The following is a 15,211-nucleotide window of genomic DNA, read 5'->3' on the forward strand; positions in this document are numbered from 1 at the left end:
GAGCTTAGGATGTTGAGGCTGCAGTGAGCCATGATTGTGCCACTCACTCCAGCCTAGGCAACAGAGGAAGACCCTATCTCAAAAAAAAAGAACTTTCAGCTTTGTTAATGTATTGTTTTCTTCGTTTTGTAGTGTTCTCTATTTGTGTTCTCTTGTAGCCTGCTGAGCTTTTAAAAAACAATTACTTGAAATTTTGTCAGGCAATTTGTAGATCTCTATTTCTTTGGGAATGGTTACTGGAAAAGTATTGTGTTTCTTTTTTAGTGTTGTGTTTCCTTAACTTTTTGTGTTTCTTGAAGTCTTGTATTGTTACATTCATATTTGAAGAGGCAGGCATTTCCCCCAGTTTCCACTGAATGGCTTTGGGAAAGAAAAATCTTCACCAGTCAGCCCAGCTAGGGATTCAGGGAGTCTCTCAGACCTTTTCCATGGATCTGCCAACTCCAGTCCTCTTGCTTTCTCTTGGCGAAGGGAGGATAAGGGGAGTGTTAGGACTGTGTGTCTTCTCTCAATCTCACAAAGCCAGGCCATGTGCTGAGGGCTGTCTGTTTATTTTCCCAAGTACAGTGGTTTATTAGTCTGTTCTCATACTGCTATGAAGAAATCCCCAAGATTGAGTAATTTATAAATGAAAGAGGTTTAATTGACTCACAGTTCTGCATTGCTGGGGAGGCCTCAGGAAACCCACAACCATGGCAGAAGACACCTCTTAACAAGGCAGCGGGAGAGAGAATGAGTAACAGCAGGGGAAATGCCAGTCGCTTATAAAACCATCGCATCTCTTGGGCCTTACTCACTGTCATGAGAACAGCGTGGGGAAACTGCCCCCATGATCCAATTGCCTCTACCTAGTCCCTCCCATGACAAGTGGGGATATGGGAACTACAAATAAAGATGAGATTTGGGTGGGGACACAGCCAAACCATATCATTCTGCCCCTGACCCCTCCCAAATCTCATATCCTCACATTTCAAGACACAATCATGCCCTTCCAACTGTCCCCCAAAGTCTTAACTCATTCCAGTATTAACCAAAAAGTCCAAGTCCAAAGTCTCAACTGAGATGAAACAAGTCCCTTCTGCCTATGAGCCTGTAAAGTCAAAAGCAAGTTAGTTACTTCCTAGATACAATGCGGTACAGGCATTGGGTAAATACATTTATTCCAAATGAGAGAAATTGGCCAAAACGAAGGGGCTAAAGGCCCCATGCAAGTCCAAAATCCAATAGGGCAGTCATTAAATCTTTAAGTTACAAAATGATCACCTTTGACTCACATCCAGGTCATACTGAGGCAAGAGGTGAGCTCCCATGGCTTTGGGAAGCTCCACCCTTGTGGCTTTGCAGAGTACAGCCCCACCTCCTGGCTGCTTTCACAGGCTGGTGTTGAGTGCCTGCAGCTTTTCCAGGTACATGGTGCAAGCTGTCAGTGGATCTACCATTCTGGGGTCTGGAGGATGGTGGCCCTCTTCTCACAGCTCCACTAGGCAGTGGGGACTCTGTGTGGGGCTCCAACCCCCACATTTCCCTTCTGCACTACCCTAGCAGAAGTTCTCCATGAGGGTTCCACCCCTACAGCACACTTCTGCTTGGACATCCAGGCATTTCCATATATCCTCTGAAATCTAGGTGGAGGTACCCAAACCTCAATTCTTGACTTCTGTGCACCCACAGGCTCAACACCAAGCGGAAGCTGCCAAGGCTTGGTGCTTGCACCCTCTGAAGCAATGGCTCAAGCTGTACCTTGGCCTCTTTTAGCCATGGCTGGAGCTGAAGCAGCTGGGATGCAGAGCACCATGTCCTGAGGCTGCACAGAGCAGTGTGTACCTGGGCCTGGCCCAGGAAAGCATTTTTCCCTCCTACGCCTCAGAGCCTGTGATGGGAGGGGCTGCCATGAAGGTCTCAGACATGCCCTGGAGACATTTTCCCCATTGTCTTGGTGATTAACATTTGACTTGTTACTTATGCAAATTTCTGCAGCTGGCTTGAATTTCTCCCCAGAAAATGGGTTTTTCTTTCCTATCACATTGTCAGGCTACAAACTTTCCAAACTTTTATGCTCTGCTTCCTCTTGAATGCTTTGCTGCTTAGCAATTTCTTCTGCCAGATACCTTAAATCATCTCTCTCAAGTTCAAATTTCCACAGATCTCCAGGGCAAGGGAAAAACGCTGCCACTTTCTTTGCTAAAGCATAGCAAGAATCTCCCTTGCTCCAGTTCTGAAGAGGTTCTTCATCTCCATCTGAGACCACTTCACCTGAACTTCATTGTCCATATCACTACCAGCATTTTGGTCAAAACCATTCGACAAGTCTTTAGAAAGTTCTACACTTTCCCACATCTTCCTGTCTTCTTCTGAGTCCTCCAAACTGTTCCACTCTCTGCCTGTTACCCAGTTCCAAAGTTGCTTCCACGTTTTCGGGTATCTTTATAGCAGCAACCCACCCTTGGTACCAATTTACTGTATTAATCTGTTCTCACACTGCTATGAAGAAATACTTACCTGAGACTGGGTAATTTATAAAGGAAAGAGGTTTGATTGACTTACAGTTCTGCATTGCTGGGGAGGCCTTAGGAAACCCACAATCATGATGAAGGCACCTCTTCACAGGGTAGCAGGAGAGGAATGAGTGCCAGCAGGGGAAATGCCAGACACTTATAAAAACATCAGAGCTCATGAGACTCACTATCACAAGAAAAGCATGGCGGAAACTGCCTCCATGATCCAATTACCTCCACCTGGTCCCTCCCAAGATACATGGTGATATGGGAACTAACTTGAAGATGAGATTTCAGTGGGGAAACAGTCAAACCACATCAAGTGGCCTGTGGTGTTCAAGGTTAAGTGCCTTCTCCTAATTCTGCAGAGTTGAGCTGGCTATCTACAGGTGTTCTTGCATGATCTGAAGAGACTTGTACACTGGCTGTAGGAGTGCATGGGGAGCACTGGCTATGGAAGTTGTGCGGAGTTCTGGGGGCACATGTGAGCTAGTTGGGGGGATAGTCCACATTCTGTAAGGTTTGTGTGTGAGCCTCTTGATGAAATTCGCAAGGTGGTTGGTAGAAACTGTGGCCCTTTGCTAAGTCCCATGTTCCAGTTGCTATGAGCTTCCACCACTTTTCCCTGTTCCTAGCTACTCAAAGACTATTTAGCTGTACCAATCCCTTCAGTGTTTAGGGTGGAGTGAAAAGAAAGTGCACCTCCCACATGGCTGGGGAAGCCAGGTACTAGTACACTACACTTTCACTTTCATCTTTCCCTGCAGGAGAAATCACAGGCTAAGAGGGCCTCTCTTGTCACTGGGCTGTGCCTTTGGGGGAAGGTTGATGCAAGTAAAGTGAAACTGTTTTTCTTACCCATTTTTCTATTGCTAGTCTCAGATTTTTTGCTCCTATGGGGTGCTGGAGCCTTTTTGCTGGACTTCCAGGCTTCCAGAAAGGTATTGTTGGCAATGGGCAGTTGCCAAAATTGGTGTGTCTGTGGAAGGCTAAGGACTCAAAACTCCTATTCTCACTGATGTCACTTCTCAGTAAGTTGGTTTGTGAGTAATAAAATTAATATCTTCTTTTTATTTTTGCCCCAATATTTGTTTCTTAATTTTTAATTTTAATTTTAATTTTTCTTTTAAGTTTCACATATACCCGGTTTACAGGGTCAAATCATTAGAAAATCAAATAATTAGTAGATTTTCCTTCTTATCCAGCATACTGAAGACTTCATATTTATACCAAAAAACAAATTTTTTAATATACCAAAATAAACAGACATTCCATTCTCTGAAGTCCTTGTGTGGATTCAACTGCTTACTAAGCAACTAACATAAAATATGAAATAAGTCTAATCATAACAAGTTAAAACAATGTTCTACCTTTAGAAATTTATTTAGAAATTTATATTAAGTACACATGATTCAAAGATTTTAGTAGTATTAATACTTATTCCTAGAAAGGATATATAATATTCTTCTGAGTATCTTTAAAACTGGATTAAAGGAAGGTGTCTTCTTATTTTTCTATTTTTCCTGCTTCCTGTTAGCTATTTTTAAAAATATTTTATTTGTTAGTTTGAAAGTTACTAATGAGACAAGCCAACACTCAGGATAATGCTTTTCTAGTTATCTGTTCCTTCTCATGACTGTTCCCTGAGAAAATCCAATTATCTTCTTCTATCACCACCATTTCACTCCCCACACCCTACAACCAGTGGCATGATGGAGTTGGCCCAGGAAGACCTGTTTTCCCCCATGGTTAAATTATTATAAATCCTGTGAGCCTGTTACTAAACAGTTGGTAGCTTGAAATCTGACACTGGAAGAGTATTTACACCAAGGAAATTGGCCAATTCTACTAGGGCTTCCTCCACTCCTCCCAGAGCCCATTGTTAAATATTCACTTAGAACACCACTGCAGGCCGGGCGTGGTGGCTCAGCCTGTAATTCCAGCACTCTGGGAGGCCAAGGTGGGTGGACTGCTTGAATCCTGGGCAACATCATGAAACCCTGTCTCTACAAAAAAAAAAAAAAGAAAGAAAGAAAAAAATAGCCAGCAGTAGTGGCTGTGGTTCTAGCTACTCGGGAGGCTAAGGTGGGAGGATCGCTTGAGCCCGGGAGGCGGAGGTTGCAGTGAGCCCAGATTGCACCACTGCACTCCAGTGTGGGTGACAGTGAGATCCCATCTCAAAATAAAGTAAAATAAAATAAAATAAGAACACCACTGCCTACAAATGCTCAGCCAAAAAGCAAAGTCCATCTTGAGCTACTGTTTATAAACAATAGGAGTAGCAAGCCCTCTCGTGGCTATTATCAGAATTGCAGAGGATAAGGAGATAAGGTAAAAAGATCAAGATTTCATCCCAAATATGTTTTATATAAGGCTTTAGAATGATAGTGTTGATTGTTGTAGTTTAATATCTCCTGCCTCTGTGCAAACTTTTCTCAAACTACCCAAAAAACACCACTTAGGTTTCCCTTTCTCATGAGTTGTAAATATCTCCTTAGTAAGAGTAGGCTTTTCTTTGTGTCCCTATAGCAAAGACTGTATTATTCACTTTTAAGGACATGCATTTTCTGTGGGTTACTGTGGGCATGTCACAGGAAAGGTTGTGTGTTTTGAAACTGTCTGTGTATCTTAGCCATACAATTAAGCCATATGAGGAATGCAAACCAGTCACCACTGCATATTAAAACACAAACCACATCAGATTACCCTCCTGCTTAGCAGGCCTCAATGGTTTCCTGTTGTATCTAAAATAAAATCCAGATACTTCACCAAACCCCATGGATCCTCGGTGGCCTAGCTCCTGCCGTGTCTCCTGCTCTGCTTTTCCTTACTGTCCCCTTCCCGTTATACAAATGTTAGGGCAAAGGCCACTCCTCAGTGGGGCCTTTTCTGGACACCTGCTCTGAACCAATGCCCACCCACCCACCCATCTGTTAATTGGTCACATCATCAGGCTTGGTTTTCTTCCCACCACTTATCTCCACCCAAAATCATCCTATTTGCTTACGTGTTGAATCTGACCCACCCAGTGGAAGGGAAGCTGGAAGCTCAGTGTGGACAAGCCCTGGTCTGTCTTACACACAGTGTTTTCCCCATAACAGGCTCCTGGTGTGAGTCACGGGGAAAGCTACAGATGCCCACAGGCAAAAGAATTGGGAGCCCTACACCCATCTACCCTCCAACCCCAGCTCTTATTTGAGTGTAGAGTGAAAAACTGGCTCATTTTGCCCGGGACTGTCACTGTTTTACCATTAAAAGCCACCATCCTAGGAAATCCTTTACCCTCAGACAAATCTAGAATGGCTGGTCACCTTATATGTTATCTAGAATTGCTTTCTGGGATGATTTTGAAAAATAAATGACTTTTTTAAAATATAAAAGCTTCCTCTGAATAACAAAATTTAATTTGCAGATTATCCTTTAGCATTCTATAAAAAATATTATTTATTTTAGCAGAGTTGACTTTTCTTGGCATATACATTTGTATTTGTCTTAGCACTTAAAATATATATGAAGCATATTGTAAAAAAAAAGAAAAAGGATCATATTGTATTCACAGGTAATGCTTTTAATTTTAAATGTCATTGAAGAAATAATCTGGTACAAACATGGCACACATGACTCATTGCTGGTAGGGTTAGAGACTTCCCACTTGAAGTCACTTTGATTCCTAAAATAAGTTTATTGATGTGTTTCTTTTACATTACATCTTCCTGATTTTAAAAAAATGTGTTATGTTTTCTTTTCTTTTTCTTATTTTTTTATTTTAAGACAGAGTCTCACTCTGTTGCTCAGGCTGGAGTGCAGTGGCATGATCATAGCTCACTGCAGCCTCAACCTCCTGAGCTCAAGTGATTGTCCCGCCTCAGCCTCCCAAGTTGCTGAGACTACAGGTGCATGCTACCATGCCTGGCTAATTTTTTTTTTAATTAGAGACAAGATTTCACCATGTTGCTCAGGCTGGTTTTGACCTTCTGAGTTCAAACTATCCTCTCACCTCAACCTCCTGAAGTGCTGGGATTATAGTCATGAGCCACGGCGCCCCAGACCTTATTTTCAAAAGATATATTTTTCTTCATTTCTCCTTGAACTTGGAGGGAACACTGCCTCAAAAGAAGTACATTAACAACATTGGCTAAACCTTCTAAGTCGTCTAAATTAGGAAAGGATCGGTTGGCCTTCAGGTTACATTTATTAGAATGACTCACTGAAGGGAACAAATATTTCAAAAGATAAAATGTAATTTTCAATTTAGTGAATTAAAATGCAACCACGTGTAATCTGAACTCACCCACATGATCAGTGTACAGAAGAGCTTTTGATCTGTATCATGTTGTTGAAAATTCATTAGAGGCCACGCAAGCATTTCTACTTGTTGGTTGTATCATCCTGTTGGCAGGAAGACAGCTAGCACTGAGGCCAAGGGCTGTGGAGGACAACAAGTAGTGACCAGGAATGCATATCATCCTATCTGCTGTTTCCAGTCCTCATTCTCACTTTTGTCAGGATTTCCATCTGTCCTCAGAAATCAGGAAGAACCAGCATCAGGGCAAAGAGTTCAGGGGCAGTATGCAAAGCTTTACTAGTTGACATGGACATTAATGTTGGAGAGGGAACCTGTGGATCTCCTCATTTCCCTTCTCGATCGCTGTTGACTATATTCCAAGGCTAACAAAAGGTTTGCAAGACAAAATCTTGAGGACAAACCTTAAGTCTGTTAAAGTCACAGTCATGACATTTCTCAAAGTGTGATCCAGTGAACATCCACAACCCGAAATCACATGGGGTGCTTATTAAGAATGCGGGTTTTCAGGTTCTGTTAAATCAGAATCCCTCGGGGGCGGTCCCCAGGAACCTGCATTTGTAACAAATCCTTTGGGTGGTTCTGGCACATACTAGGGTTGAGGCTTCATGATCGTTTGCTATGGTGTGAATGTGTCCGCCAAAATTCAGGAGTTGGAAAATTAATCCCAGTGCAGCAGTGTTGACGGGTGAAGCCTAAATGGGAGGTGCTTAGGTCATGAGGGCTCTGCCCTCATGAACAGATTAATGTGGTTCTAAAAAGGACTTGCAGAAGTGCGTTCTCTCTATTCTGCTCTTCTGCAATGTGAGGAGAGTTTTTGCCCTTTTGCCCTTCTATCTTCTGCCACGTGAGAACGCAGCAAGGCTCTCATCAGATGCTGGTGCCTTGATCTTGGATGCCCCAGCCTCCAGAACTGCAATAAATTTCTGTTCTTTATAGATTTCCCAGTGTCAGGTATTTTGTTATAGCAGTATGAAACAGGTCAAGACTTTCTCAATCTTTACAGCATAACTGATCAGGCGCAGTGGCTCACGCCTGTAATCCCAGTGAGAGGTGACAGTGTGCTGGCAGTCCTCACAGCCCTCTCTCGCTCTGGGCGCCTCTTCTGCCTGGGCTCCCACTTTGGCGGCACTTGAGGAGCACTTCAGCCCACTGCTGCACTGTGGGAGTCCCTTTCTGGGCTGGCCAAGGCCGGAGCCCGCTCCCTCAGCTTGCAGGGAGGTGTGGAGGGAGAGGCGCGGGTGGGAACTGGGGCTGCGCGCCACAGGCCAGCTGGAGTTCCGGGTGGGCGTGGTCTTGGCGGGCCCTGCACTCGCAGCTGCCGGCCGCCCCTGCCGGCCCTGGGCAATGAGGGGCTTAGCACCCGGGCCAGCGGCTGCGGAGGGTGTACTGCGTCCCCAGCAGTGCCAGCCCACCGGCGCTGCGCTCGATTTCTCACCGGGCCTTAGCTGCCTTCCCGCGGGGCAGGGCTCCGGACCTGCAGCCCGCCATGCCTGAGCCTCCCACCCCCTCCATGGGCTCCTGTGGGGCCCGAGTCTCCCCGATAAGTGCCGCCCCCTGCTCCACGGCACCCAGTCCCATCGACCACCCAAGGGCTGAGGAGAGCGGGCGCAGGGCGCAGGACTGGCAGGCAGCTTCACCTGCAGCCCCAGTGCGCGATCCAGTGGGTGAAGCCAGCTGGGTTGAGTCTGGTGGGGACGTGGCGAACCTTTTGTCTAGCTCAGGGATTGTAAATACACCAATCGGCACTCTGTACCTAGCTCAAGGTTTGTAAACACACCAATCAGCACCCTGTGTCTAGCTCAGGGTTTGTGAACGCACCAATCGACACTCTGTATCTAGCTACTCTGGTGGGGCCTTGGAGACCCTTTGTGTCCACACTCTATATCTAGCTAATCCGGTGGGGAGGTGGAGAACCTTTGTGTCTAGCTCAGGGATTGTAAACGCACCAATCAGTGCCCTGTCAAAACAGACCACTGGGCTCTACCAATCAGCAGGATGTGGGTGGGGCCAGATAAGAGAATAAAAGCAGGCTGCGGGAGCCAGCAGTAGCAAACCACTTGGGTCCCCTTCCACACTGTGGAAGCTTTGTTCTTTCGCTCTTTGCAATAAATCTTGCTACTGCTCACTCTTTGGGTCCACACTGCTTTTATGAGCTGTAACACTCACCGCCAAGGTCTGCAGCTTCACTCCTGAAGCCAGCGAGACCACGAGCCCACCGGGAGGAACGAACAACTCCAGACGTGCCGCCTTAAGAGCTGTTAACACTCACCTGGAAGGTCTGCAGCTTCACTCCTGAGCCAGCGAGACCACGAACCCACCAGAAGGAACAAACTCCGAACACATCCGAACATCAGAAGGAACAAACTCCAGACGTGCCACCTTAAGAGCTGTAACACTCACCACGAGGGTCCACAGCTTCATTCTTGAAGTCAGTGAGACCAAGAACCCACCAATTCCGGACACACCAGCAGTTTGGGAGGCCAAGGCAGGTGGACCACTTGACATCAGGAGTTTGAGACCAGCCTGGCCAATATAGCAAAACCCTGTCTCTACTAAAAGTACAAAAATTAGCTGGGTGTTGTGGCAGGCACCTGTAATCTCAGCTACTTGGGAAGCTGAGGCGGGAGAATCACTTGAACCCAGGAGGCAGAGGTTGCAGTGAGCTGAGATTGCGCTGCTGCACTCCAGCCTGGACAAAGAGTGAGACTCCATCACATACATACACACACACACACACACACACACACACACACACACACACAGGGCGTAACTAACTCTCAGACTCCCTCTCCCCAGCTAAAGACATCTAGGCAAATTTTCATCCTGGTAGCACCCATGGGGAACTCCCTTCTCAACCTCCTTTTCCATGGAAAAATATCCATGAGCCCTGAGGATTTGAAATTCAGTTCATACAAAAGCGCCTTCCTCACCTCATCTCGTGGGAAAAAAAACCTGTCTCCCGAGTAAACATTTCATATAAAATAGTACTCAAGTCACTCCTCTCCAAAAACTTCACCTGGCCTCTTGCTTTCACATGGACATTAAGAGGCTAGGCCTCAAGTCTGCCTTTTCCTTGAGCCTGCTTTTCTCTGACGCAGAAGGGGCCACTTGGCAGGTCTGGCAATCCCACGTTCCGAGACTGGAGCTCTACAAGCGGGACTTGGAGCTGCCTGTGGCTCTGTTATTCCTTACTCCTTGGTGATACTCTTCACTTTGGTAATATTTTAGTAGGTATTGTTAGAAAGTAAACCTTCATTGAATTCTCAGAAAGAGTAAACCACTAAAGCATAATGAAGTAAACTGACAGTAACTAATTTATTATGTGTAACTACAGCACAGAATAATGCTACATAAGTTGGAATATAACAGTGGAGTTTAAAATGGATTTGGATTAAAAAGCACTAAGGACAAATAAAATTTAAAAGAGCAAATAAATTTACATATTTGAAATACGTAATTTAAGTATTGTTTTTATAAATAGTTTCTACTTTATCATTTCACTGGTTGCCAGAATCATGTTTTAGACCAGCTAATTTTCAAATATCTCTGAAGACTACAGCTGGGACCTGAAAAGCATGAACAAGTTTAAGTGGAAAACAGCCAACATTTCCTGGAATAGAAGAGATGACCCTAGGCTGAAATCGAAGGCTTCCCACCTGTGTCCACGACACTCAGAAAAGTGATTTCCCATTGCCACTACCTGGGAAAAGGGCATTGCCTTCAAGAGCCACTCCAAGGAGGTTGCCAGTTCTAGAGAAGCTTGAGATACAAGTTCTAGCAATACTCTGCTCTGCTGGAAAATTCTAGTGTTGCAAATCTCAACAAATCAGCATGCTGGCAGAAATTTAGAGTAAAAGGTATCTGGATAGTGAGAATAAATAACATAAAATTATTTTACTATAATCCTCATAAGAGTCCCTCAAAACCATCCTCAGAGCACACTCACTCTTCTCACTTGGTTTTCTGTGGCTATTTAAGATCCCAAGTAGCACCAGAAGGAAAAGTGTAGGTGGGGACAGAGATATCCACTTAAGTAATAGACAAATGAATTTGCCAAAGATCAGACAAAGAAAAATCGTATCCATTAATACAATTAGGAGCTATTCAGTACCTTCTACAAGCCAAGCATTGTGCAGGCCCTGGAGAGACAAAAAGGAACAGGACCTGATCTTGCCCTCAGGATATACACAACCTTATATGTTAAGACTAACATATAAATGATTAACTTCAATACAACAGAAAAAAGTATCAATTATGGTTATTTGGTGCAGGTATTAACCTTGGCCTAACTGGAGCACAAAAGAAACTCACTGGAGCAGTAGTAAGTAACTCATGAAATTGTTGGTCAATCTGAACAATCAAGCCAAGGGGAGAGAGCCACAGAAACCCAAAATTCTCAGGAACGAGAATTCTTATACTGTCACCTAAGGTTGCTGTGATTCTATCTGCCTTCCATCTCTGGGTGTCTCTACTCAAGATTCACTTTCCTGCAAAAAAAACCAAACAGCTGTTCTTATTCTAATTTGCATTATCACCTCCTGTGGTCCAGGAACAAAGACCCCTGGACTGGCAGCCCGAGAATCTCACAGGGTGAAGACTGAAGTTGGGAAAACCCTTGCCTTGCCAAAACACATCTAGAACCTTCTTTCCATACAAATATTCCCAAGAGGTTTCTAACCAAACATGGTTGTGCATTGCTTGTGAGCCTTCAGATTGAGCACCCCCCTGCTCCCCAGTGGAGCACAACCCAACACAACATCTCACAAGTGCATCCTGAGGTGAGATGTGATGCCAAGTTGGGGGCTACAGATTGAATTATCTTGTTGGCAAACTGGGGACTCGGTGATGGCCAGGTGTGATTTATAAATAAATGTCCATGTTTTTGAGTCCAAGAAAGCAGAAGAATCTTCTTATAATTTGGTCATTGCAATGGTTTGAATGTGTTCCCTGCAAGCCTATGTGTTGGAAACTTACTGCCATTGTAATAGTATTAAAAGGTGGCCCTTTTCTTGTTGTTGTTTTGTTTTTTGTTTTTTTTTTGAGACGGAGTCTCGCTCTGTCGCCCAGGCTGGAGTGCAGTGGCGCAATCTCGGCTCACTGCAAGCTCCGCCTCCCAGGTTTACGCCATTCTCCTGCCTCAGCCTCCCAGGTAGCTGGGACTACACGTGCCTGCCACCACGCCTGGCTTTTTTTTTTTTTTTTTTGCTATTTTTAGCAGAGACGGGGTTTCACTGTGTTAGCCAGGATGGTCTCAATCTCCTGACCTCGTGATCTGCCCACCTTGGCCTCCCAAATTGCTGGGATTACAGGCGTGAGCCACCTCGCCCAGCCAAGAGGTAGCCCCTTTATGTGGTGATTGGGCCAAGAGGACTCTGCCCTTGTGAATGAGTTAATACCATTATTGTGGGAGTGGGTTCATTATACAAAGGCCAGTTTGGTCCCCACCCCCAACAATTCTTTGGCCATGTGAAGAAAACTGTTCCTCCCTCTGTAGGATGCAGTGTTCAAGGTGCCATCTTGTAAGCGGAGACCAGGCCCCCATCAGACAGCCTCCAAAACTGTGAGAAATAAATGTCTATTCTTTATGGATTACCCCGTCTCGGGTATTGTATTCCAGCAGCACAAATGGACTAAACAGTCATCCAGTTTACCTGGAATATTTCTGTGATATACACAAACCTATTTGATTTTTGTACTCTATTCCTGGCACAGGGCTCCTAAAACCCTGGGAATTTCCTGAGTGAGGGGAGTTTCTGCTTTTACTCATAACATGCCATCTTCCACCATATCTAGTACTACACCTGAGTTTATGTTACTGCAGTGACTTAGGGTGGTTCTAACTAGCCTCTGGTCACTAGAAAGACTAAAGAGGGTGGGAACTCTTAGCCTCACCCACTGGCCTCCCACGGATGGAAGGGGCCTGGAAATGGGTTATAAAGCCTCCTGAATGGTATGCAATGAGTTTCGGGGTCAGTGAACACACGGAGGTGCCGCGAGGGTGGTATGCCTAGAGAGGGCCTGGAAGTTCTGTGCCACCAACTACTCGACATACCCTGCTCTATGCATTGCTTTCATTTGTCTGTCTCTGAGTTGTAGCCTTTATAATAAACTGGGAAATGTTAAGTAAAATGTCTACCTGAGTTTTGTGAGCAGTTTTAGCAAATTACCAAAACTGAGAAAAGAGTCATGGGAATCCCTAAATCTGCAGTCAGCTAGGCAGAAGTGTGGATGGTCTGAGCACCCCATTGTAGCTGGCAACTGAAGTGGGTGGGGGGGCAATCTTGTGAGACTGAATCCTTTACCTGTGGGGCCTGCTGATAGCTGCAGGAATTAGTGACAGAATATAACTGAATTGTTGAACATCGAGTTGGTGTCAGAGAATTGGAGAATTGGTGTTGGAAAATACATCAATATTTTGGTGTCGGGGCAAAAAAATAGCAACCTTACAATCTTCTACAGTAAGGGACTTCTGGTTAGCATTCAAGTTGGGCATAAATATTCTTGGGGTCTGGGCATATTCCAAATGATTTAGTCACATATCTCTGCCCCAGGTCTTCTTGACACAAACTTTGGTTCAATTTTGGCCCAATTACCAAGTTTGGCCTAATTTTGATCCTTCCAATTACCTGATCATTGACAGGACCAGGATAAAGATCTAAAACCAATAGTTTTCCCCTTGCCTTCTACCTTTTCCCCCTTTTCTTTCTATTTTGCTATTTACCTTCTCTATCCCATGACTAGACGAGCCAATAATAAAACGTGATTGTAGACCGAGCGCGGTGGCTCATGCCTGTAATCCTAGCACTTTGGGAGGCTGAGGCAGGCGGATCACGAGGCCAGGTGTTCGAGACCAGCCTGGCCAACATAGTGAAACCCTGTGTCTACTAAAAATACAAAAAATTAGCTGGGCGTGGTGGCAGGTGCCTGTAATCCCAGTTACTCGGGAGGCTGAGGCAGGAGAATTGATTGAACCTGGGAGGTGGAGGTTGCAGTGAGCTGAGATCCCACCATTGCACTCCAGCCCAGGCAACAGTGCGAGACTCCATCTCAAAAAAAAAAAAAAAAAAAAAGCAATTGTAATCTGAGTGATTCTTCACTAGGTATTTGATATCAAAATGGAATCGTGCCGGGCGCAGTGGCTCACGCCTATAATCCCAGCACTTTGGAAGGCCAAGGAGGGCAGCATCACCTGAGGTTGGGAGTTCAACATCAGCCTTACCAACATGGAAAAATCCCATCTCTACTAAAAATACAAAATTAGCTGGGCGTGGTGGCACATACCTGTAATCCCAGCTAGTCGGGAGGCTGAGGCAGGAGAATTGCTTGAACCTGAGAGGCAGAGGTTGCGGTGAGCCGAGATTGCACCATTGCACTCCAGCCTGGGCAAGAAGAGTGAAACTCCATCTCAAAAACTAAACAAAACAAAACAGAACAAAAGAACAGAACGGTAATCAGCATTTATCGTATGCCTGTTGTGTACTGTACTCTGTGAAGCGCTTGATACTCATCACTTCACTTAATTGCTACAACAACTCTGTAAAGTAAAGACAATTATCCCACATGACGACGCTGAAGGTCCGTAAACTTCCAGAATATGTCAAGGGCCACCAAGCCAGTAAGTGCTCATAAGTCAGCACTTGGGTCCAGATCTGTGGACTTCAAAACCCATGCTCTTAACTCTGCCACAGCTGTCCTTGATTGATGAATGGGATTGCTTTCTGGAAGTTCATTTCTAAATTGTTAGTTTGGAACTCAAACTGAATTTTTCCCAGGTATTTTGTTATGAATCAGTTTTTCTACAACTCAGTAAATAGGGACCCTACTATTAGGATGAAAATAATTTCTCAAAGATGCCTATAAATGCATGCCCACATCCCTACAATAGATCCAACTTGAAAAACACAGACTTAAAGTCTTAGTCTATAAAAATGTCTCATAAGTGCAAATATCACCTATTAAGACTAAGAGGCTAGCCAGGCATCATGGCTCACGCCTATAATCCCAGGATTTTGGGAGGCCAAGGCCCTTTTGTTTTGGTAGGGTAGATCACTTTTGTTTGGGTAGATCACTTGAGATCAGGAGTTCGAGACCAGCCTGGCCAACATGGTGAAAACCCGTTTCTACCAAAAATACAAAAAAATTAGTTGGGCATGGTGGCATGCACCTGTAATCCCAGCTATTCAGGAGGCTGAGGCATGAGAATCACTTGAGCCCAGGAGGTGGAGGCTGCAGTGAGCCGAGATCCTGCCATTGCACTCCAGCCTGGGTGACAGAGCGAGACTCTGTCTCAAAAAAAAAATAAATAAATAAAATAAGACTAAGAGACTTTAGGGTTTATAACAGACAAATCTATGTGTATATATGTATATATTATTTTTTCTTTCTTATTTCTATGTATATATTTTGGATT

At 44.7% G+C, this 15,211-nt stretch overlaps 1 long non-coding RNA gene across 2 annotated transcripts in view, besides 1 other annotated feature; it reads right to left on the minus strand.

The window, feature by feature from the left end:
- Nucleotides 1-6,042: 6,042 nt before the first annotated feature.
- Nucleotides 6,043-15,211, minus strand: part of LOC105376136 (uncharacterized) — a 30,466-nt gene continuing 21,297 nt past the window's right edge. Inside the window, exon 3 of one of the 2 annotated variants that reach the window (XR_930101.4) lies at nt 6,043-14,213. This is a non-coding gene — a long non-coding RNA (uncharacterized LOC105376136). The remainder of the gene's footprint in view (nt 14,214-15,211) is intronic. The other variant, XR_930100.4, reaches the window with a different exon arrangement.
- Nucleotides 7,647-8,165: an enhancer, noted in NCBI's record as "H3K27ac-H3K4me1 hESC enhancer chr9:91896966-91897484 (GRCh37/hg19 assembly coordinates)". NCBI's record gives its function as "activates a minimal SCP1, AML or CMV promoter by ChIP-STARR-seq in primed H9 embryonic stem cells {active_cell/tissue: H9 hESC(primed)}" and the evidence as "EXISTENCE:reporter gene assay evidence [ECO:0000049][PMID:30033119]".

Source organism: Homo sapiens, chromosome 9, assembly GCF_000001405.40.
Source record: "Homo sapiens chromosome 9, GRCh38.p14 Primary Assembly".
NCBI lineage: Eukaryota > Metazoa > Chordata > Mammalia > Primates > Hominidae > Homo > Homo sapiens.